This window comes from Homo sapiens, chromosome 1, assembly GCF_000001405.40.
Source record: "Homo sapiens chromosome 1, GRCh38.p14 Primary Assembly".
Lineage (NCBI taxonomy): Eukaryota > Metazoa > Chordata > Mammalia > Primates > Hominidae > Homo > Homo sapiens.
This window is the reverse complement of record NC_000001.11, coordinates 48,280,606-48,302,466: the sequence shown is the minus strand read 5'-3', so window position 1 is coordinate 48,302,466 and position 21,861 is coordinate 48,280,606. Positions and strand designations below refer to the sequence as shown.

At 40.2% G+C, this 21,861-nt stretch overlaps 1 protein-coding gene across 18 annotated transcripts in view; it reads left to right on the top strand.

The window, feature by feature from the left end:
* SPATA6 (spermatogenesis associated 6) overlaps window positions 1–21,861 on the top strand; it is a 210,816-nt gene that overhangs the window by 169,738 nt on the left and 19,217 nt on the right. For 15 of the 18 annotated variants that reach the window (XM_047422902.1, XM_047422919.1, XM_017001510.2 and 12 more), the window contains one exon: window positions 3,574–7,094. The exons of the other annotated variants lie outside the window; for them this stretch is intronic. In XM_047422902.1, coding sequence (XP_047278858.1) covers window positions 3,574–3,754 — 181 coding nt within the window. In that variant the 3' untranslated portion in view covers window positions 3,755–7,094. Of the gene's footprint in view, window positions 1–3,573; window positions 7,095–21,861 lie in introns of those variants that run through there. 18 annotated transcript variants of the gene reach the window in all.

The window sequence follows — 21,861 nt, the reverse complement described above, 5'->3', positions numbered from 1 at the left end:
CTCATTGTAAATGGGAGCTAAACAATGGGTACACATGGACATACAGAGAGGTATAATAAACACTGGAGATTCTAAAAGGTGGGAAGGTGTGGAGATTCTAAAAGGCGGGATGGGGTTGAAAAAATACCTGTTGGTTAGTGTTCACTATTGAACCATGAGTACACTAAAAGCTGAAAGCCCAGATTCGCCATTATGTAATATATCCATGTAAGAAAACTGCCCTTGCACCCTCTAAATCTATAAAAATAAAATAGCAACAATTAAAAAAATAAAGAAACAAGAGACACAAGGAATTGGACAGTGTGAAGAAATAGTTCACAATATCAGTCCAGGCAAATCATTGAACAAAGAATCGGAAAGAATCCAGAGTTTCTGCAATCTCAACTAGATCTAAAACTTTGTTTTCTACAAAAACTCTGAGACATGTAAAGAAGAAAGTATGACCCATATACATGAAAAATGAATTACTGGAAACTGGATGCTACTCAAGTAATCTTTGCCTAGATCAATATCCTAAAGCATTTTCCCAATATTTTCTTCAATAGTTTCATCCTTTCAGGTCTCACATTTAAGTATTTAATCCATTTTAGTTCGATGTTTGTATATGGTGAGATATAGGCATTATTTTTATTTTTTTGCATATGAATATCCAGTTTTCCCAGTACCATTTATTGAAAAGACTGTCCTTTCCCCAATGTATGTGCTTGGTGCCTTTGTAAAAAATGAGTTTACTGTAAATGTGTGGATTTATTTCTTCATTCTCTATTCTGTTCCATTAGTCTATTCGTCTGTTGTTATTCCAGTACTATGCTATTTTGGTTACTATAACGTCACAGTTTAATTTCAAGTCAGGTTATGTGATGCCTCCAACTTCGTTCTGTTTGCTCAGGATTGCTTTGGCTATTCTAGTTTTTTTTTTTGTGTGTGTGTGTGTGTGGTTCCAAATAAATTTTAGGATTTTTTTATTATTATTGCTGTGTAGAATGTCATTAGTGTTTTGATAGAGATTGCATTGACTAGATTGCTTTGGGTAGTATAGGCATTTTAACAATATTGATTCTTTCAATCCATGAACATGGAATATCTTTCCATTTTCTTGTGTTCTCCAGTTTCTTTCATCAGTGTTTTATAGTTTTTGTCATAGCAGTCTTTCACTTTTCTGGCTTTTTTTTTTCTTTTAGTATTGGAAATGGGATTGCTTTCTTGATCTCTGTTGCAGATTGTTTACTGTTGGAATATAGAAATGTTGATTATTGCATGTTAATTTTTTATTTTGCAACCTTACTAAATGTGTTTATTCATTTTAATTTTTTGGTGGAGTCTTTATGTTTTTCTAAATAAAACATCATGTTTTCTATGGAAGGGAATAATTTAACTTCTTTTTCAGTTTGGATCCCCTTTATTTCTTTCATTTGCCTAATTGCTCTGGCTAGGACTTCCATTACTATGTTGAATATAAGTGGCGAAAGTGGGCATCTTTGTCCTGTTTCAGATCTTTTTCCCATTCAGTATAATATTAGCTGTGAGTTTGTTGTATATGGCCCTTATCATTTTGAGGTATGTTCCTTCCATGCCCAGTTTATGGAGGGGTTTTATTATGAGTGGATGTTGAATTGTATTGAATGCTTTTTCAGCACCCATTGAAATGATTATACTTTTTTTTTGTTTTAATTCTGTTGATATTATGTATCACATTTATTGATTTGCCCATGATGAACCATCCTTGCATCCCTGGAATGAATACCATTTGATCATGGTGAATGATCTTTTTCATGTGTTTTTGAATTCAATTTTCTAATATTCTGTTGAGGATTTTTGCATCTGTTCATCAGGAATATTAGCCTGTAGTTTATTTTTGTTGTTGTTTTTGTCTGGTTTTGGTACCAGGGTAATGCTAGTCTTATAAAATGGGTTTTCTCATATCTTTAATTTTTTGTAATATTTTGAGTAGACTTCTTATTAGTTCTTCTTTAAATATTTGGTAAAATTCAGCAGTGAAGCCAGAGATCCAGGGCTTTTCTTTTATAGGAGACTTTTTATTACTGTTTCAATATTGTTATTCATTATTGGTCTGTTCAGGTTTTGTATTTGTTCATAGTATAATCTTGGTTTGTAGGTTGTGTGTATCTGGGAAGAAACTTTACAATCTCTAACAGGCCTGGAAGGTCTAATCTATAAAAGTATTTCATTGACCTTGAAGAAGGTCAATTATTTATATAAGAAAATAAACTCAACATTTTATCCATAAAAAATGTAATTCCGGAATTTATGTTAGTAAAATTATAACACTGATAACATAAAAAGTGCTATTAATCCTTAAGAAAGAGTTACCTTTTCTTTTCTATCTTCATCACAGCTAGCCCAGTCTTAGTCTATTTCATTAGCTTCCTATGGGCTTCCTCTCACTTACATGCGTGCTCTCTTGCATGCGCTCGCTCTCTCTCTCTCTCCCACCTTCTTTTTTCCTTAAGACCCTCAAAACTACAGTTGATCCTTTCACTTCAAACTCTTCTGCCTTGTTTCCATTTTCCACAAATGTTCACAGTTAGCCTAATTTTCTACTCCTTGAGGGCAATAGCAGCATGGCATAGTAGAAAGGGTCTTAGAGCACACACGTTGTCTTTTTCATTTTGCCACTTACTAGCTGAGCAGTCTTAGGCAAGTCACTTAACTTCACTGAGTCTTCATTTCTATATCTACCAACTTCTATGTGTTGTAAAATGTATTCATAAATAGATATAAAGTACCTGGTTTAGTGTCTCATATTTAATAACGTCTGTGTTTAAATTTTAAAACAATCCTGTAAAACTAAAGTTAAGGAAGTTGAGACTCTGGATAGTTAAATAAATTGCCCAAGGTCTCACAGCTTATAAAGGACTGAGCTGGAATTCAGTTTCAGGTATGCCTGACTTTTAGCAACTATGCATTCTTTTTTTTTTTTTTTTTTTTTCCGAGACGGAGTTTTGCTCTTGTTGTCCAGGCTGGGGTGCAATGGCGTGATCTCAGCTCACTGCAACCTCTGCCTCCCGGTTTCAAGTGATTCTTCTTCCTCAGCCTCCCGAGTAGCTGGGATTATAGGCAAGCGCCACCATCCTCAGCTAATTTTGTATTTTTTAGTAGATATGGGGTTTCTCCATGTTGGTCTGGCTAGTCTCGAACTCCCGACCTCAGGTGATTTGCTCGTCTCAGCCTCCCAAAGTGCTGGGATTATAGGCGTGAGCCACTGTGCCTTGGGCTGTGCATTCTTATACTGGCCATACCAGGCCAGTATAAGAACTGCTTTTATTATGTTCTGCTTTTATTATGCTGTACCTGTGTCTGTTCTCTGAATTCCTTTTTCACTCTAACACAAAATTTTCATTTTACTGTTTTATAACAGTTTTACACAGATACTTCTGCCTCCCCTTTTAAAATGTCCCTCTTTGAAAGCACAGGCCTTACTCTGTTTTATTTTTCACAGCCCCAGCAGAGAATTAAATAGCCATAGAGTACTCAATAAATATTTGATTTACATAGTACTATCTCTAATTTTGTTTCATTATTGTTTTGAACCTTTTATATCCCTTTTTATAGCTCATGTCAGCAGCCACGTGGCACTTTCCATTTGGATGACGGTGAATACTGGTCCAACAGGGCAGCCTCTTATAAGGGAAAATCCCACCGACCCATCTTTGAGAACAGCATGGACAAGATGTACAGGAACTTATACAAAAAGGCCTGTAGTTCTGCTTCACATACACAGGAAAGCTTCTGAGACCATCCATGATAAACCTCATTAGTGTCCGTGTCAATTTCTCAATGAAAATGTTTGATGTGATCAATATCTGTATTCCTTTTTTTAAAAAAAATGGGATTATAACTAAGTACAATAGTTATACTTGAATAAGTTCATTACTTCAAATGGTAAATTATCATAGGCAAGCCTTTTAAAATAATTATTACAGAAGAGTCTGCTGTGTTACAAACATTAGAGCTCTGTCACACAATCACAACTTCCAATATGTGACAAGGATATTCTGTTACATGTACACCTCATATTCCATCTGCAAATCCAAGAATAGTTCCTTTCTAGAAATGTTTTTTTTGCCTTACTCACCTTGCAATTTTCTTCTCATCTACTTAACTGGTTATCTTGCCTGTGTAAGATTTAATTAATATTGACTACCTTTTCTTGGTGATGAACAAAATGATATCCTATACAGAAATGAATTTCCTAAGGGTTTAAACCCTGTTTTCACTAACATTTTCTACTTTTTCCTTTTTCAGAACAGGCTATTCTATTTCTTAGCTCATAGGCTTTCTTTTTAAAGACTATATGATCATTCACTCCTTTTTCTCTGGAAGAACTGTGTAAGTTGCTTAAAATGCATAGCAGTTAGCTAGAAATATCAGTGCCATGGATGATCAAAAATTTGAATAACTAATTTTTAAAGATAAAATTCTTTGCATGATTTTTTTTCTAGGGCCATACCTTTTGGTGCAACCAGAATCAGAAAATGGCCTCTGTTAGTAAGCTTATAGAAACCTAAAAATAATAATGGAATTATATTGTAATTTGACTGCTTGGAATTTGTGTAAGTACCATATGGCCCAAGGCACTATTATAGTATCCTCACTTTAAAAAAAAAAACACTTGGAACCACAATGTGAGTAAAATATTATAGCAGAACGCTTTGTGGTAGACACTGAAAATGTTGTTGATTGATGGATAGAATTAACTTCTCCTCCCCCACCCCAGCACACACCTGTGAAGCCAATGATACTATAAAGACATAAAGAAATCAGCTACTTTATATTTAATAGAGAGTGAGGGGAGGGAAAGGAGAGTGTAGGAATAAGTGAACTGGGCTTATAGTCTTGAAGAGTTGCCTAAAAGATAATATTTTCTCATTGACTCTGTTTTTGATTAATTTTACAGTTATGATTGAAAAAGAACAAAATGAACTTCCTTTAAAATGAAATTAAAATGTGAAACTTGCTGACTTATTTTTGTAGTAGAACTTGTTAACATCATGTTAAGGGTGCTTTAGTATCACAGTCTGTGATATATCAGAAAGGGCATTAGAGCTATCTCTATGAGCCAGGAGTCCTAGGCTTTAGTATCCCATGTCTGCCGTTTTCTAGCTGAGTCTATTTAATTCTCAGATCCTTTGTTTCCTCAGCTATCAAATGATAAGAATGTAGTAGACCCCAAACTATGTTCTGTGGACCAAGATCACTGTTTTAGGAGATAATCGTAGGAATGTAGGTATAAGTATGTAATTGGCCATCTAAGTTTAGGAAAATCTGTTTGCTACACACATACACACACACACACACACACACACACACACACACACACCTCTTAGAGAGTCATATGTAGGATTATAGAGGTAAAAAGAGATGATATTAATGCTGGAATAGCGCCTGTAAACTGGGGCTGTCTACAGCAAATTAGGATATATGGTCACTGTGCTCATTGTGAACAGTAGCTTGTTCGAGGCTTTAAGAAAATTCTGGTATAAATCTGTCTTACTCTGCATCTAGTAGACAGCCTGGCATGTAATTGATGTTCCTTAAATATTTATCGAATTAACCCAGAATTTTCTAAACTAAATTTAGCATGTACCACTATTTGTTATTCTTGCCACCACCCCCCATTCCCCTAGCTCCTCACACTACCTGCCAATGTCATCCTAAGGTACATGTGGATACCTAGGTTGTAGAAATGCTGGACTACACAATTGCTGAGTTACTCTCTGGCTGTAGATTATATGATGAGGTATTTTACAATCAGCTTTTGAAGGTCAACATTGAATAATGCTCTTTTAAAAAAATTATATCCTCAGTGTTTTTCCATGGAAAAATAAGTGAAAATTCTTTTAAGAGTTGCTGTTTGGTGAAAAGAACAAACATGACTTTCAAAGAAAATGTTTTACTATCACCAAAATCTCCCAAGTGAATAAGTACCACAGAAATTACTTATTGCACCTGTATCTGCCATTGGCTGTGAAAAAGGCTGCAAAAAGTAGGGCTGAAAGGGAAACTTTAGAAACTAATACTCTGAAAGATGTTTTCCTATGGATTAAATTTAGTGTCTTTCTGAAAGTTGGGGGCAAATTCCCAGATACTAATAGCATCTTTGCTAAGTGTCTGATTATCTTCTATCCCCTAGGAGGAAAGAGTGGTCCATGTTGCTGTAACTACTACTATGAGTGCTTATGCTGTATTGTTTTTAAAGAGTAAAACCTTTAAGTACTAATAGTTGTCTTTTCTCATTCACAGGAGCAGAAAGGTGCAGTTGTTTATTCTCTTAGCCTTTTTTTTTTCCTGTATTTCCCACAAATCTAGAAATAATTATTGGAGTTAATATGAAAGATAAATAGGCTTTTCTTTTTACTTTTTAATTTTTTTCTTTAAATCATAAAAAACCTTGGGATTTAGAAAAATGTCAAAATCGACAAATAAAGATGAATCATTGGAATGAGACTCTTCCTTGGTTCTACTAGCTAGTTATATAACCTTATTTAAGTCATTTATGCTTCTTGGAGCTCAGTTTTCTCACCAACAAGGTGATAAAAGGGTTAATTTAGAATGATCCTTTGACATTTCATAATTGTACAATTAATATGTACGATCAGGAAGTCCTAGGCAGGCAGAGTTGTTTTCTGATTTCCAAAGATTAAGCCCCTGATGAAAAATCTGGAACAAATAGAGAATTTTCATTATTGTGTTCATTTGCTAATAATAGCTTTATTGAGATATAATTCACTCTGAAAAAGTATACAATTAAGTGGTTTTTACTATATTCACAGAGTTGTGCAACAATAACCACTCACTAATTACAGAATATTTTATAACTCCCAAAAGAAATCCTGTAACCATTAGTGATCACTTCCCACTACCTCCTCCCCACAACTCCTGGAAACCACTATATGCTTTTTGTCTCCATGCCTATTCTGGACATTTCATATAAATGGAACCATACAACATGTGACCTATTGTATGTGGCTTCTTTCACTTAGCAAAATATTTTGAGAGTTCATGCATGTTGTAACACGTATGAATACTTCATTCCTTTTTATTACTAAATAATAATCCATCATATGAATATACCACATTTTGTTTATCCATTCAATTGATAGATATTTTGGTTGTTTCCACTTTTTAGGTATTCTGAAATGCTGCTCTGAACACTTGTATACAAGTTTTTTGTGTGGACATATGATTTTATTTCCCTTGAGTATACATCTAGGAGTTGACTTGCTGGGTCCTATGGAAACTATGTTCAACATTTTGAAGAACTACCAAATTGTTTTTCAAAGTGAACGTGCCATTTTACAAAGATCAACTGTGTTGATCTTTATCTTAGGATCTTAGGCAAGTTATACATTCAAGCCTCATCAATTTATTCATCACATATATATTAAGAACTATGTTAGAAATAGAGGGTATATAAAAATGTATCTTTAAAAGTATGAAAACAAAAAGTGTATTTAAACATTTGCAGTCGTTTGGTAACTTCCATGGTATGAAAATGCAAGAATGGGGATAAAGGCCTTCTAGCTTGATGAAACAGAACATGCAGAGGCATGAAAATGGGAGGGAGCATGATTGATCAGGAAACTCCTCCAAGTGCTTTAGCTAGAAGTGGTGTGCAAGGTTGCAAATGCTATGGTAGAATATGACTAATGCAGTAAGAGAACTACAAAGAAGTCTAGAGCAGCATTAGAAGAGGTGACCATTGAGCTGAATATTGAAAGATTGAAAGGACTTTTGAGAATAGGAAAACAAGGTGGAATAAACTAAATATTGATCAGATTTTACAAGAGTGGAGATGGAGTTTAAAATATCCAGAGTCAGTTAAGAATAAAGATCTAGAACTTGGGAGAACTCAAGAATACAAAACACATTTTGAAGTCAGATAAAAATAATGAAGTCAGATAAAAACAAATGAAAGCTCTGCTTTTTGTTTTTCTCCTAATTTATATGTGACCATAATAGGCACCCTGAGAGTGCTGGACCTCAAGTAATTTAATGTTTTGCTAATTAAGGAGGCTCTGGTGGTAGTGAGATAGTTTGAGGGCAGCCCTTTTAAAAATAAGATAGACAGCCGGATGCAGTGGCTCACGCCTGTAATCCCAGCACTTTGGGTGGCCGAGGTGGACGGATCATCTGAGGTCAGGTATTTGAGACCAGCCTGGCCAACATGGTGAAACCCTGCCTCTACTGAAAATACAAAAATCAGCCAGGCGTAGTGGCATGCACCTGTAGTCCCAGCTACTCGGGAGTATGAGGTAGGAAGACCACTTGAATTTGGGAGGTGGAGGCTGCAGTGAGCCAAGACTGTGCCACTGCACTTCAGCCTAGGTGACAGAGCTCAAAATAATAATAATTAAGAAAGAAATCCTCCTTCTAACTAGCTACAGTTTCAATGTACGAAACGAAGAGGTAAGTAAGAGAGAAAATCCAACATTTTGTTAAGTTAATGTGTTTATTATCACTGAATGATATACTTTGAGTTTAATTATATGATGTTTCCTCAGATAATCAGTACTTGTGACTGTTCACCCATTCGCAAAATATTCCAGGCAATCTGCAAGACATTGAGTGATAACCCAGAGATAAACAGAAACACAGTTCTCAATCAAAGTTTGTGTGTGTATATGGGGGTTGGGGAGAGACTGGCATTTACTTGAGGGATAATAATTGAAATTACTTGATATTCTTTCTAGCTGTCTTGGATAGCATAAGCCTTAGAAATTCCACTTACTAAGGTTTGTGAAGTAAGAAGGAAATAAGCTAACACAGAACAGATATCAGCTGATATACTGTTCTCTAAAAGTTAATAAAGTTACTTAACATTACTTAACAGTAACTTAGCATTACTCTCATTACCAAGGTACTTCTGCTTTTGAGGGGAAAAACATATAAGATATTCAAGAAGGAAGTATTACCAACAAGATGGTAGAGTAGGAGACCCTGGCCCTCAACCCCACAAACAACAATCTGATAGACATCCAGGAATGGAAATAGCTGTGGGAGGGCTTTGGAGTCCAGATAAGAAGCTGCGGCAGCATAGTAGAGCAAAAAAGCAAAGCAAAACCAAACCAAAACAACAACAACAAAAACAAGAATAACCACACAGAATGGGTATGAAGAAGTCTCATTTTATCTTTATGCCATCCGTCAGGCTGGCACAGCTCATTACCAAATGTTACCCTCAGGTGAAAATGAGAGCAGGGTGAGTGTCCAGCCTCTTCACAATTTGTGGGTACTGCCCAAAAGATCCACATTGGTTTTATCCCACTCAAATCCCGGGGAAGACTGGCATAGCTGAGATATCTGGAAGCAGCTAGGAATAAAGAAGGACAGAGGGCATTGTGTCAGCCACGTGGCAGGGGATACCATGGTTCATAGCGGCCTGGTCTTCAGATGACCCCAGCACCCTTCTCCACTGAAGACCTCCCAGCTGGCTTGGAATTCCCATGGCTTTCACCGCAGATGGCCTTCTGGCTTTCTCCTTCATGGACCCCAGCTGACTAGGCTATTTTTACCTCCAGTGGAGCTGCCCCAGCCAGCGCCTCTGTGGGCACCCAAACCCTGGGAACCAGTGCAGTCACTGCATGCATGCCTGCAGTTGGCACTGACCCACTAGCCCCAGTTTTAACCACCACATTCATCTGTGACCAATTCTCATGGGCATGTGCATGCACACAACTGGCCCTGGCTGTTAATGACAGTGCATGCAAGCACTGCTTATTTGCACCACTGCGTGCATGCCCTTACCCAGCTCTCACCACTGTACATATGCCTGCTATTGGCTTTGGCTGTTGCAGCCACATACTCACTGGTGGTTTGCACTGCTGCACATATGCCTGCCTATGGCCACCTCTTGCCACCACATAAACACCTGCTGCTGGTCTTGGTTGTTAGTGCCACAGGCATACTTGCCACCAACCCTCCTGTTGTGTGCACCCCTAGCTCTCCCCAGTCTTGACTGCCAACTTCGGCATTATCTATGCAGGTGCACTTGCTGCTATATCCAGTGGCACCACTAAGGACCCCAGCAGCCCTCATGGGCACCACAAAACCCCCACAACATTCACAGCTGAGGACAACATAGTTGCCAAATGTTGTGGACCCTGGCTACTTCAGCTCCTGTGCCACCACTCCTGTCCCTCCTGGACACAGAGCTGTGACAGGTTACAGCAGTTGGCATCTCACATGCCATTAGACTCAGTGTCACAGCATACTTCTGCTCCCCCTCTCAGTGAAGAACTTTTCTTACCAAAGGTGGTCTGGAAGAGGTAAGTGCTGCTTCAAATGCACTGACACCAATGCAAGGATAAAAGAAGCATGAAAATTCAGAAAACTATGACACCACCAAAGGAATGCAAACTTACAGTAACTGACCCCAAAGAAATGGGTATTCATGAGTTAGCTGCCAAATAATTTAAAGTAATTGTCCTTTAGATGCTTGGTGAGCTACAAGACAACACAGGTAAACGATATAACAAAATTAGGAAAGCGGGGACAAAATGACAACTTCAACAAAGAGATTTAAAAAACCCATAAACATAAAGAAGCAATGGGGGAAAATGGTGGCTAGGAGGCAGGGCTAACTTGGACCTCCCACTTCAACAGATAGAGCAGTGTGTGGAGACCCACAGCATGAACTCTTGCTCTTAGAACTACTGCAGGAACACCAGGAAAGCCTAGAGAATCCACAGACCCTTTGAAGGAAGTGGACTGCCACTGCAGGCTCCCTGGGACAGCCAAGGAACTGTGAGTCCGCTTGCTTTCTCAGCTGGGATGCTTGTAGCCTGGGGCAAGTTCTCAGCCCTGCTCACTGGCTGCCTGGAAATAAACTCAGTGCTACTGGGTGAGGGGGGCAGGTGGGCACAGAGGGAGTGAGACCAGCCTTTTCGTCTGCGGGCTGTGTGGGAGCTGGTTGAGGCCTGTGGCTGCCGACTTTCCCCCACTTCCCTGGTGACCTGTGTGATGCAGCAGAGATAGCCATATTCCTCCTGGGAACATAACTTCATTGGCCTGGGAACCACACCCCCATCCCCCACAGCAGCTGCAGCAAGCCCAGCCCGAGGAGAGTCTGAACTCAGCCTAACCCTGCCCACACCTGATGATCTTTCTCTACCCGCCCTGGTAGCCAAAGACAAGGGACATAATCTCCTGGGAGCTCTATGGCCCTGCCTACCACCTGATCCTCCCCATACAACCCCAGCTGATATGCTTTTGAAAGTGCCACCTCCTGGCTGGAGGCCAACACAAAACCAGTGAACTTAACAAAAATTAAATCGAGGACCCTCACAGGGTCTGAGAGACAGTTTGTTATAATTTCTGTTCTTTAACATTTGCTGAGGAGTGCTTTACTTCCAGCTATGTGGTCAGTTTTGCAGTAAGTGCGACGTGGTGCTGAGAAGAATGTATATTCTGTTGATTTGGGGTGGAGAGTTCTGTAGATGTCTATTAGGTCTGCTTGGTGCAGAGCTGAGTTCAATTCCTGGATATCCTTGTTAACTTTCTGTCTCGTTGATCTGTCTAATGTTGACAGTGGGGTGTTAAAGTCTCCCATTATTATTGTGTGGGAGTCTAAGTCTCTTTGTAGGTCTCTAAGGACTTGCTTTATGAATCTGGGTGTTCCTGTGTTGTGTGCATATATATTTAGGATAGTTAGCTCTTCTTGTTGAATTGATCCCTTTACCATTATGTAATGGCCTTTTTTGTCTCTTCTGATCTTTGTTGGTTTAAAGTCTGTTTTATCAGAGACTAGGATTGCAACTTCTGCTTTTTTTTGTTTTCCATTTGCTTGGTTGATCTTCCTCCATCCCTTTATTTTGAGCCTATGTGTGTCTCTGCACATGAGATGGGTCTCCTGAATACAGCACACTGATGGGTCTTGACTCTTTATCCAATTTGCCAGTCTGTGTCTTTTAATTGGAGCATTTAGCCCATTTACATTTAAGGTTAATATTATTATGTGTGAATTTGATCCTGTCATGATGTTATCTGGTTATTTTGCTCGTTAGTTGATGCAGTTTCTTCCTAGCCTCGATGGTCTTTACAATTTGGCATATTTTTGCAGTGGCTGGTACCAGTTGTTCCTTTCGATGTTTAGTGCTTCCTTCAGGAGCTCTTTTAGGGCAGGCCTGGTGGTGACAAAATCTCTCAGCATTTGCTTGTCTGTAAAGGATTTTATTTCTCCTTCACTTATGAGGCTTAGTTTGGCTGGATATGAGATTCTGGGTTGAAAATTCTTTTCTTTAAGAATGTTGAATATTGGCCCCCACTCTCTTCTGGCTTGTAAAGTTTCTGCCAAGAGATCAGCTGTTAGTCTGATGGGCTTCCCTTTGTGGGTAACCCAACCTTTCTCTGGCTGCCCTTAACATTTTTTCCTTCATTTCAACTCTGGTGAATCTGACAATTATGTGTCTTGTAGTCGCTCTTCTCAAGGAGTATCTTTGTGGCGTTTTCTTTACTTCCTGAATTTGAATGTTAGCCTGCCTTGCTAGGTTGGGGAAGTTCTCCTAGATAATATCCTGCAGAGTGTTTTCCAACTTGGTTCCATTCTCCCTGTCACTTTCAGGTACACCAGTGAGACATAGATTTGGTCTTTTCACATAGTCCCATATTTCTTGGAGGCTTTGTTTGTTTCTTTGTACTCTTTTTTCTCTGAACTTCTCTTCTCACTTCATTTCATTCATTTGATTCTTCAATCACTAACACCCTTTCTTCCAGTTGATCGAATCGGCTACTGAAGCTTGTGCATGCATCAAGTAGTTCTTGTGCCATGGTTTTCAGCTCCATCAGGTCATTTAAGATCTTCTCTACACTGTTTATTCTAGTTAGCCATTCATCTAATCTTTTTTCAAGGTTTTTAGCTTCTTTGCGATGGGTTTGAACGTCCTCCTTTAGCTTGGAGAAGTTTGTTATTACTGATCCTCTGAAGCCTTCTCTCAACTTGTCAAAGTCATTCTCCATCCAGCTTTGTTCCACTGCTGGTGAGGAGCTGCATTCCTTTGGAGGAGAAGAGACTCTCTGAGTTTTAGAATTTTCAGCTTTTCTGCTCTGGTTTCTCCCCATCTTTGTGGTTTTATCTACCTTTGGTCTTTGATGATGGTGATGTACAGATGGGGTTTTGGTGCAGATGTCCTTTCTGTTTTTTAGTTTTCCTTCAAACAGTCAGGACCCTCAGCTGCAGGTCTGTTGGAGTTTGCTGGAGGTCCACTCCAGACCCTGTTCCCCTGGGTATCACCAGCGGAGGCTGCAGAACAGCAAATATTGCAGAACAGCAAATGTTGCTGTCTGATCATTCCTCTGGAAGCTTCGTCTCAGAGGGACACCTGGCCATATGAGGTGTCAGTCAGCCCCTACTGGGAGGTGCCTCCTAGTTAGGCTACTCGGGGTCAGGAACCCACTTGAGGTGGCAGTCTGTTGGTTCTCAGATCTCAAACTCTGTGCTGGGAGAACCACAACTCTCTTCAAAGCTGTCAGACAGGGACATTTAAGTCTGCAGAAGTTTCTGCTGCCTTTTGTTAGGCTATGCCCTGCCCCCAGAGGTGGAGCCTACAGAGGCAGGCAGGCCTCGTTGAGCTGCAGTGGGCTCCACCCAGTTTCAGCTTCCTGGCCGCTTTGTTTTCCTACTCAAGCCTCAGCAATGGTGGGCGCCCCTCCCCCAGCCTTGCTGCCACCTTGCAGTTCGATCTCAGACTGCTGTGCTAGCAATGAGTGAGGGTCCGTGGGTGTGGGACCCTCCGAGCCAGGCACGGGATGTAATATCCTGGTGTGCCGTTTGCCAAGACTATTGGAAAAGCACAGTCTTAGGGTGGGAGTGACCTGGTTTTCCAGGTGCTGTCTGTCATGGCTTCCCTTGGCTAGGAAAGGGAGTTCTCTGACCCCTTGCACTTCCCAGGTGAGGTGATGCCTTGTCCTGCTTTGGCTCATGCTCTGTGGGCTGCACCCACTGTCCTGCACCCAGTGTTTGACAAGCCCCAGTGAGATGAACCCAGTACCTCAGTTGGAAATGCAGACATCACCTGTCTTCTGCATCAGTCACACTGGGAGCTGTAGACTGGAGCTGTTCCTGTTCAGCCATCTTGAGGAATTCTCTCGGCTTCTTAAACTTTCAATAATTAGAAAAGGGAAGACCCTCCCAAACTCACTTTATGAGGCTAGCATCATCATGATCCAGTTCCAAAGACACTTCAAGAAAAGAAAACAGCCAATATCTCTGATTAACATAGATATGGAAGTCCTCAATAAAACAGTAACAAAATAATTCAATGGCACATTACAAGGATCATACACCACAACCAAGTGATATTTATCCCTGGGATGCAAGGATGGTTCAGCATACAAAAATAAATCAATGTGAGATACATTAACAGAAAGAAAGACAAAAACCACATGATAATCTCAATATATGCAGAAAAGGTACTTGACAAAATTCAACAACATTTTATGATAAAAACTTTAAACAAAATAGATATACAGGAAACTTATTTCAACACAATAAAAGCCATATATGAAAAACCCACTGCTAACATTATAATCTTTTGGATAAAGCTTAAAACTTTTCCTCTAAGATTATGAACAAGGAAAAGATGCTCACTCCCTCTGCTGCTATTCAGTATTCTACTGGAAGTCCCAGTGTGTTAGTTTGTTTTTGCATTGTTATAAAGAAATACCTGAGATTGGGTAATTTATAAAGAGAAGTTTAATTTGCCCATGTTTCTGCAGGCTGTACAAGCATGGCTTCAGCATCTTCTAGTGAGGGCCTCAGGGAGCTCATAATCATGGCAGAAGGCAAAGGGAGAGCTGGCAGTGCCACATGGCAAGAAAGGGAGCAAGAGAGAGAGAGAAGGGAGAGGCCCCAGACTCTTTTAAACAGCCAGATCTCATGTGAACTACTTGAGAAAGAACTCACTTATCACAAGGGGATGGTGCTAAATCATTCATGAAGGATATGCCCCCATGACCCAATTACTTCTCACCAAGCCACACCTCCAACATTGGGAATCACATTTCAACATGAGATTTGGAGGGGACAAACATGAAAACATAATATAGTTTGGATGTGTGTCCTCCCACAAATCTCATATTGAAATGTAACCCCCAATGTTGGAAGTGGGGCCTGGTGGGAGGTGATTTGATCATGGAGGCTGATTTATCATAAATGGTTTGGCACCATCCCTCATGGCACTATCCCTGTGATAGTGAGTTCTCATGAGATCCAGTCATTTAAAAATGTGTAGCACCTCCCCCTTCACTCTCTTAACCCAGGCTTTTGACATGTGACATGCTTGCTCCCCCTTTGCCTTCTGGCATGATTGGAAGCTTCCTGAGGCCTCCCCAGAAGCAGATGCCACTATCCTTCCCTTACAGCCTGCAAAACAGTGAGCCAATTAAACCTCCCTTTTTTTTTTTTTTTTTGAGACAGTCTAACTCTTGTTACCCAGGCAAGAGTGCAGTGGCGTGATCTCGGCTCACTGCAACTTCTGCCTCCTGGGTTCAAGTGATTCTCCTGCCTCAGTCTCCCAAGTAGCTGGGACTACAGGTGCCCGCCACCACACCCAGATAAATTTTTTGTACTTTTAGTAGAGACAGGGCTTCACCATGTTGGCCAGGCTGGTCTGGAACTCCTGACTTCAAGTGATCTGCCTGCCTTGACCTCCCCAAAGTGCTGGGATTACAGATGTGAGCCACTGTGCCTGGCCAAACCCTCATTTTTTAAAATAAATTACACAGTGTCAGGTATTACTTTATATCAATATAAGACGTGACTAATACAAAACTATATTACCTAGCCAGAATAATCAGTCAAAATTTTAAAAAGGCATCTAAATTGGAAGGATGATATAAAATTATCTCTGTTTGCATTTGGCATGATCATATATATAGAAAGCCTAAAGACTCTACAAAAAAGCTGATAGAATAAATTCAATAAAGTTGCAGAATAGAAAATTAGCACATAAAAAATCAGTATTACTTCTATACCCTAACAACTATCTGAAAGGGAAATATAAAAAGCAATCCCATTTACATTAGCAACAAAAAGAGTAAAATACTTAGGAATTAACCAAAGAGATGAAAGATTTTAATGCTGAGAATCATAAAACATTGATGAAAGAAATTCAGAAAGACACAAATAGACATCCTATGTTTATGGATTAAAAGAGTTAATATTTTTAAAATGTCTGTACTACCCAAAGCAATCTCCATATTCAATGCAGTTCTTATCAAAATCCCAATGGCATTTTTTTTTTTACAGAAAAAGAAAAAAAATTCCTAAAATTCATATGAAACTAAAAATGTCCCCAAATAGCCAAAGTAATCTTAAGCAAGAAAAAGGAAGCTGGAGGCATCACATGTCCTGACTTCAAATTTTATTACAAAGCTATAATAAACAAAACAGTGTAATCCTGGCATAAAAGCAGACACATGGATCAGTGGAACAGAATAGGGAGCCCTGAAATAAACTCATGCATATATGGTCAACTAATATTCAACAACGGTGTCAAGAATACAAAATGTGGAGAGGATAGTCTCCTCAAAAAAAGATGTTGGGGGGTGGCTGGCAAGATGGCTGAATAGGAACAGTTCTGGTCTGCAGCTCCCAGCAAGAACAATGTAGAAGGTGGGTGATTTCTGCATTTCCAACTGAGGTAGCTGGCTCATCCCACTGGGACTGGTTAGATAATGGGTGCAGCCTGCAGAGGGAAAGCTGAAGCTGGGTGGGGCGGGGCCTCACCCAGGAAGTGCAAGTGGTCAGGAACTCCCTGCCATAGTCAAGGGAAGCTGTGAGGGACTGTGCCATGAGGAACGGTGCATTTGGCCCAGATACTATTCTTTTACTATGATCTTCGCAACTCACATACCACAAGATTCCTTTGGGTGCCATGCCACCAGGGCCCTGGGTTTCACACACAAAACTGGGCAGCCATTTGGGCAGACACCGAGCTAGCTGCAGGAGTTTTTTTTTTTTTTTTTTTTCATACCCCAGTGGCACCTGGAATGTCAGTGAGACACAACCATTCACTCCCCTGGAAAGGGGGCTGAAGCCAGGGAGCCAAGTGGTCTAGCTTAACAGATCCCACCCCAACATAGCCCAGCAAGCTAAGATCCACTGGCTTGAAATTCTGGCAGCCAGCACAGCAGTCTGAAGTCAACCTGGGACACTTGAGCTTAGTGGTGGGAGGGGTGTCCGCCATTACTGAGGCTTGAGTAGGCAGTTTTCCCCTCACAGTGTAAACAAAGCTGCCGGGAAGTTTGAACTGGGAGGAGCCCACCGCAGCTAGGCAAACTGCTGTAACCAGAGTGCCTCTCCAGATTCCTCCTCTCTTGGCATGGCATCTCTGAAAGAAAGTCAGCAGCCCCAAACAGGAGCTTATAGATAAAATTCCCATCTCCCTGGGACAGAGCACCTGGGGGAAGGGGTGGCTGTGGGCGCAGCTTCAGCAGACTTAAACGTTCCTGCGTGCTGGCTCTGAAGAGAGCAGTAGATCTCTCAGCACAGCGCTCGAGCTCTGCTAAGGGTCAGACTACCTCCTCAAGTGGGTCCTGAGCCCCGTGTCTCCTGACTGGAGACACCTGCCAGCAGGGGTCGACAGACACCTCATACAGGAGAGCTCTGGCTGACATCTGGTGGATGCCCCTCTGAGACAAAGCTTCCAGAGGAAGGAACAGGGAGCAATCTTTGCTGTTCTGCAGCCTCTGCTGGTGATAACCAGGCAAACAGGGTCTGGAGTGGACATCTAGCAAACTCCAGCACAGACAGCAGAGGGGTCTGACTGTTAGAAAGAAAACTAACAAACAGAAAAGAATAGCATCACCATCAACAAAAAGGATGTCCACACAGAAACCCCATCCGAAGGTCACCAGCATCAAAGACCAAAGGTAGATACATCCACAAAGATGAGGAAAATACAGGTCAAATAGGCTGAAATTTCCAAAAACCAGAATGCCTCTTATCTTCCAAATGATCACAACTCCTCCCCAGCAAGGGAACAAAACTGGATGGAGAATGAGTTTGATGAATTAACAGAAGTAGGCTTCAGAAGGTGCATAATAACAAACTCCTTCGAACTAAAGGAGCATGTTCTAACCCAATGCAGGGAAGCTAAGAATCTTGAAAAAAGTTCAGAGAAACTGCTAACTAGAATAACCAGTTTAAAGAAGAACATAAATGACCTGATGGAGTTGAAAAACACAGCATGAGAACTTCCTGAATCATACACAAGTATCAATAGCCAAATTGATCAAGTGGAAGAAAGGATATCAGGGATTGAAGATCAACTTAATGAAATAGTGTGAAGATAAGATTAGAGAAAAAAGAATGAAAAGGAATGAACAAAGCCACCAAGAAATATGGGATTACATGAAAAGACCAAACCTACATTTGATTGGTGTACCTGAAAGTGACAGGGAGAATGGAACCAAGTTGAAAAACACTCTTCAGGATATTATCCAGGAGAACTTCCCCAACCTAGCAAGACAGGCCAACATTCAAATTCAGGAAATATAGAGAACACCACAAGGATACTCCTTGAGAAGAGCAACCCCAAGACACATAATTGTCAGATTCACCGTGGTTGAAATCAATGAAAAAATGTTAAGGGCAGCCAGAGAGAAAGGTCGGGTTACCCACAAAGGGAAGCCCATCAGAATAACAGTAGAATTCTCTGCAGAAACCCTAAATGCCAGAAGAGAGTGGGGACCAATATTCAGCATTCTTAAAGAAAAGAATTTTCTTTCTTTCTTTCTTTCTTTCTTTTTTTTTTTTTTTTTTTTTTGAGACGGAGTCTTGCTCTGTCACCCAGGCTAGATTGCAGTGGCGTGATCTCGACTTACTGCAAACTCCGACTCCCTGGTTCAAGCCATTCTCCTGCCTCAGCCTCCTGAGTAGCTGGGATTACAAGCACCTGCCACCATGCCCAGCTAATTTTTGTATTTTTAGTAGAGATGAGGATTCACCATGTTGGCCAGGATGGTCTCAATCTCTTGACCTCATGATCTGCCTGCCTTGGACTCCCAAAGTGCTGGGATTACAGGTGTGAGCCACTGCGCCCAGCCAAGAAAAGAATTTTCAATTCAGAATATCTTTTTTAAAAATTTTTTTTATTTTTTATTTTATTATTATTATACTGTAATTTTGGGGGTACATGTGCACAATGTGCAGGTTAGTTACATATGTATACATGTGCCATGCTGGTGTGCTACACCCATCAACTCGTCATTTAGCATTAGATATATCTCCTAAAGCTATCCCTCCCCCCTCCCCCCACCCCACAACAGTCCCTAGAGTGTGATGTTCCCCTTCCTGTGTCCATGTGTTCTCATTGTTCAATTCCCACCTATGAGTAAGAATATGCGGTGTTTGGTTTTTTGTTCTTGCGATAGTTTACTGAGAATGATGATTTCCAATTTCACCCACGTCCCTACAAAGGACATGAACTCATCATTTTTTATGGCTGCATAGGATTCCATGGTGTATATGTGCCACATTTTCTTAATCCAGTCTATCATTGTTGGATATTTGGATTGGTTCAAAGTCTTTGCTATTGTGAATAGTGCCACAATAAATGTATGTGTGCATGTGTCTTTATAGCAGCATGATTTATAGTCCTTTGGGTATATACCGAGTAATGGGATGGCTGGGTCAAATGGTATTTCTAGTTCTAGATCCTTGAGGAATCGCCACACTGACTTCCACAATGGTTGAACTAGTTTGCAGTCCCACCAACAGTGTAAAAGTGTTCCTATTTCTCCACATCCTCTCCAGCACCTGTTGTTTCCTGACTTTAATGATCACCATTCTGACTGGTGTGAGATGGTATCTCACTGTGGTTTTGATTTGCATTTCTCTGATGGCCAGTGATGGTGAGCATTTTTTCATGTGTTTTGTGGCTGCATAAATGTCTTCTTTTGAGAAGTGTCTGTTCATGTCCTTTGCCCATTTTTGATGGGGTTGTTTGTTTTTTTCTTGTAAGTTTGTTTGAGTTCATTGTAGATTCTGGATATTAGCCCCTTTCTCAGATGAGTAGGTTGTGAAAATTTTCTCCCATTTTGTAGGTTGCCTGTTTACTCTGATGGTAGTTTCTTTTGCTGTGCAGAAGCTCTTTAGTTTAATTAGATCCCATTTGTCAATTTTGGCTTTTGTTGCCATTGCTTTTGGTGTTTTAGACATGAAATCCTTGCCCATGCCTATGTCCTGAATGGTAATGCCTAGGTTTTCTTCTAGGGTTTTTATGGTTTTAGGTCTAACGTTTAAGTCTTTAATCCATCTTGAATTAATTTTTGTAAAAGGTGTAAGGAAGAGATCCAGTTTCAGCTTTCTACATATGGCTAGCCAGTTTTCCCAGCACCATCTATTAAATAGGGAATCCTTTCCCCATTTCTTGTTTTTGTCAGGTTTGTCAAAGATCAGATAGTTGTAGATACGTGGCGTTATTTCTGAGGGCTCTGTTCTGTTCCATTGATATATATCTCTGTTTTGGTACCAGTACCATGCTGTTTTGGTTACTGTAACCTTGTAGTATAGTTTGAAGTCAGGTAGTGTGATGCCTCCAGCTTTGCTCTTTTGGCTTAGGATTGACTTGGTGATGCAGGCTCTTTTTTGGTTCCTTATGAACTTTAAGTAGTTTTTTCCAATTCTATGAAGAAAGTCATTGGTAGCTTGATGGGGATGGCATTGAATCTATAAATTACCTTGGGCAGTATGGCCATTTTCACGATATTGATTCTTCCTACCCATGAGCATGGAATGTTCTTCCATTTGTTTGTATCCTCTTTTATTTCATTGAGCAGTGGTTTGTAGTTCTCCTTGAAGAGGTCCTTCACGTCCCTTGTAAGTTGGATTCCTAGGTATTTTATTCTCTTTGAAGCAATTGTGAATGGGAGTTCACTCATGATTTGGCTCTCTGTTTGTCTGTTATTGGTGTATAAGAATACTTGTGATTCTTGTACATTGATTTTGTATCCTGAGACTTTGCTGAAATTGCTTATCAGCTTAAGGAGATTTTGGGCTGAGACGATGGCGTTTTCTAGATATATAATCATGTCATCTGCAAACAGGGACAATTTGACTTCCTCTTTTCCTAATTGAATACCCTTTATTTCCTTCTCCTGCCTAATTGCCCTGGCCAGAACTTCCAACACTATGTTGAATAGGAGTGGTGAGAGAGGGCATCCCTGTCTTGTGCCAGTTTTCAAAGGGAATGCTTCCAGTTTTTGCCCATTCAGTATGATATTGGCTGTGGGTTTGTCATAGATAGCTCTTATTATTTTGAGATACATCCCATCAATACTTAATTTATTGAGATTTTTTAGCATGAAAGGTTGTTGAATTTTGTCAAAGGCCTTTTCTGCATCTATTGAGATAATCATGTGGTGTTTGTCTTTGGTTCTGTTTATATGCTGGATTATGTTTATTGATTTGTGTATATTGAACCAGCCTTGCATCCCAGGGATGAAGCCCACTTGATCATGGTGGATAAGCTTTTTGATATGCTGCTGGATTCGGTTTGCCAGTATTTTATTGAGGATTTTTGCATCAATGTTCATCAAGGATATTGGTCTAAAATTCTCTTTTTTGGTTGTGTCTCTGCTCGGCTTTGGTATCAGGATGATGCTGGCCTCATAAAATGAGTTAGGGAGGATTCCCTCTTTTTCTATTGATTGGAATAGTTTCAGAAGGAATGGTACCAGTTCCTCCTTGTACCTCTGGCAGAATTCGGCTGTGAATCCATCTGGTCCTGGACTCTCTTTGGTTGGTAAGCTATTGATTATTGCCACAATTTTGGAGTCTGTTACTGGTCTATTCAGAGAGTCAATTTCTTCCTGGTTTAATCTTGGGAGGGTGTATGT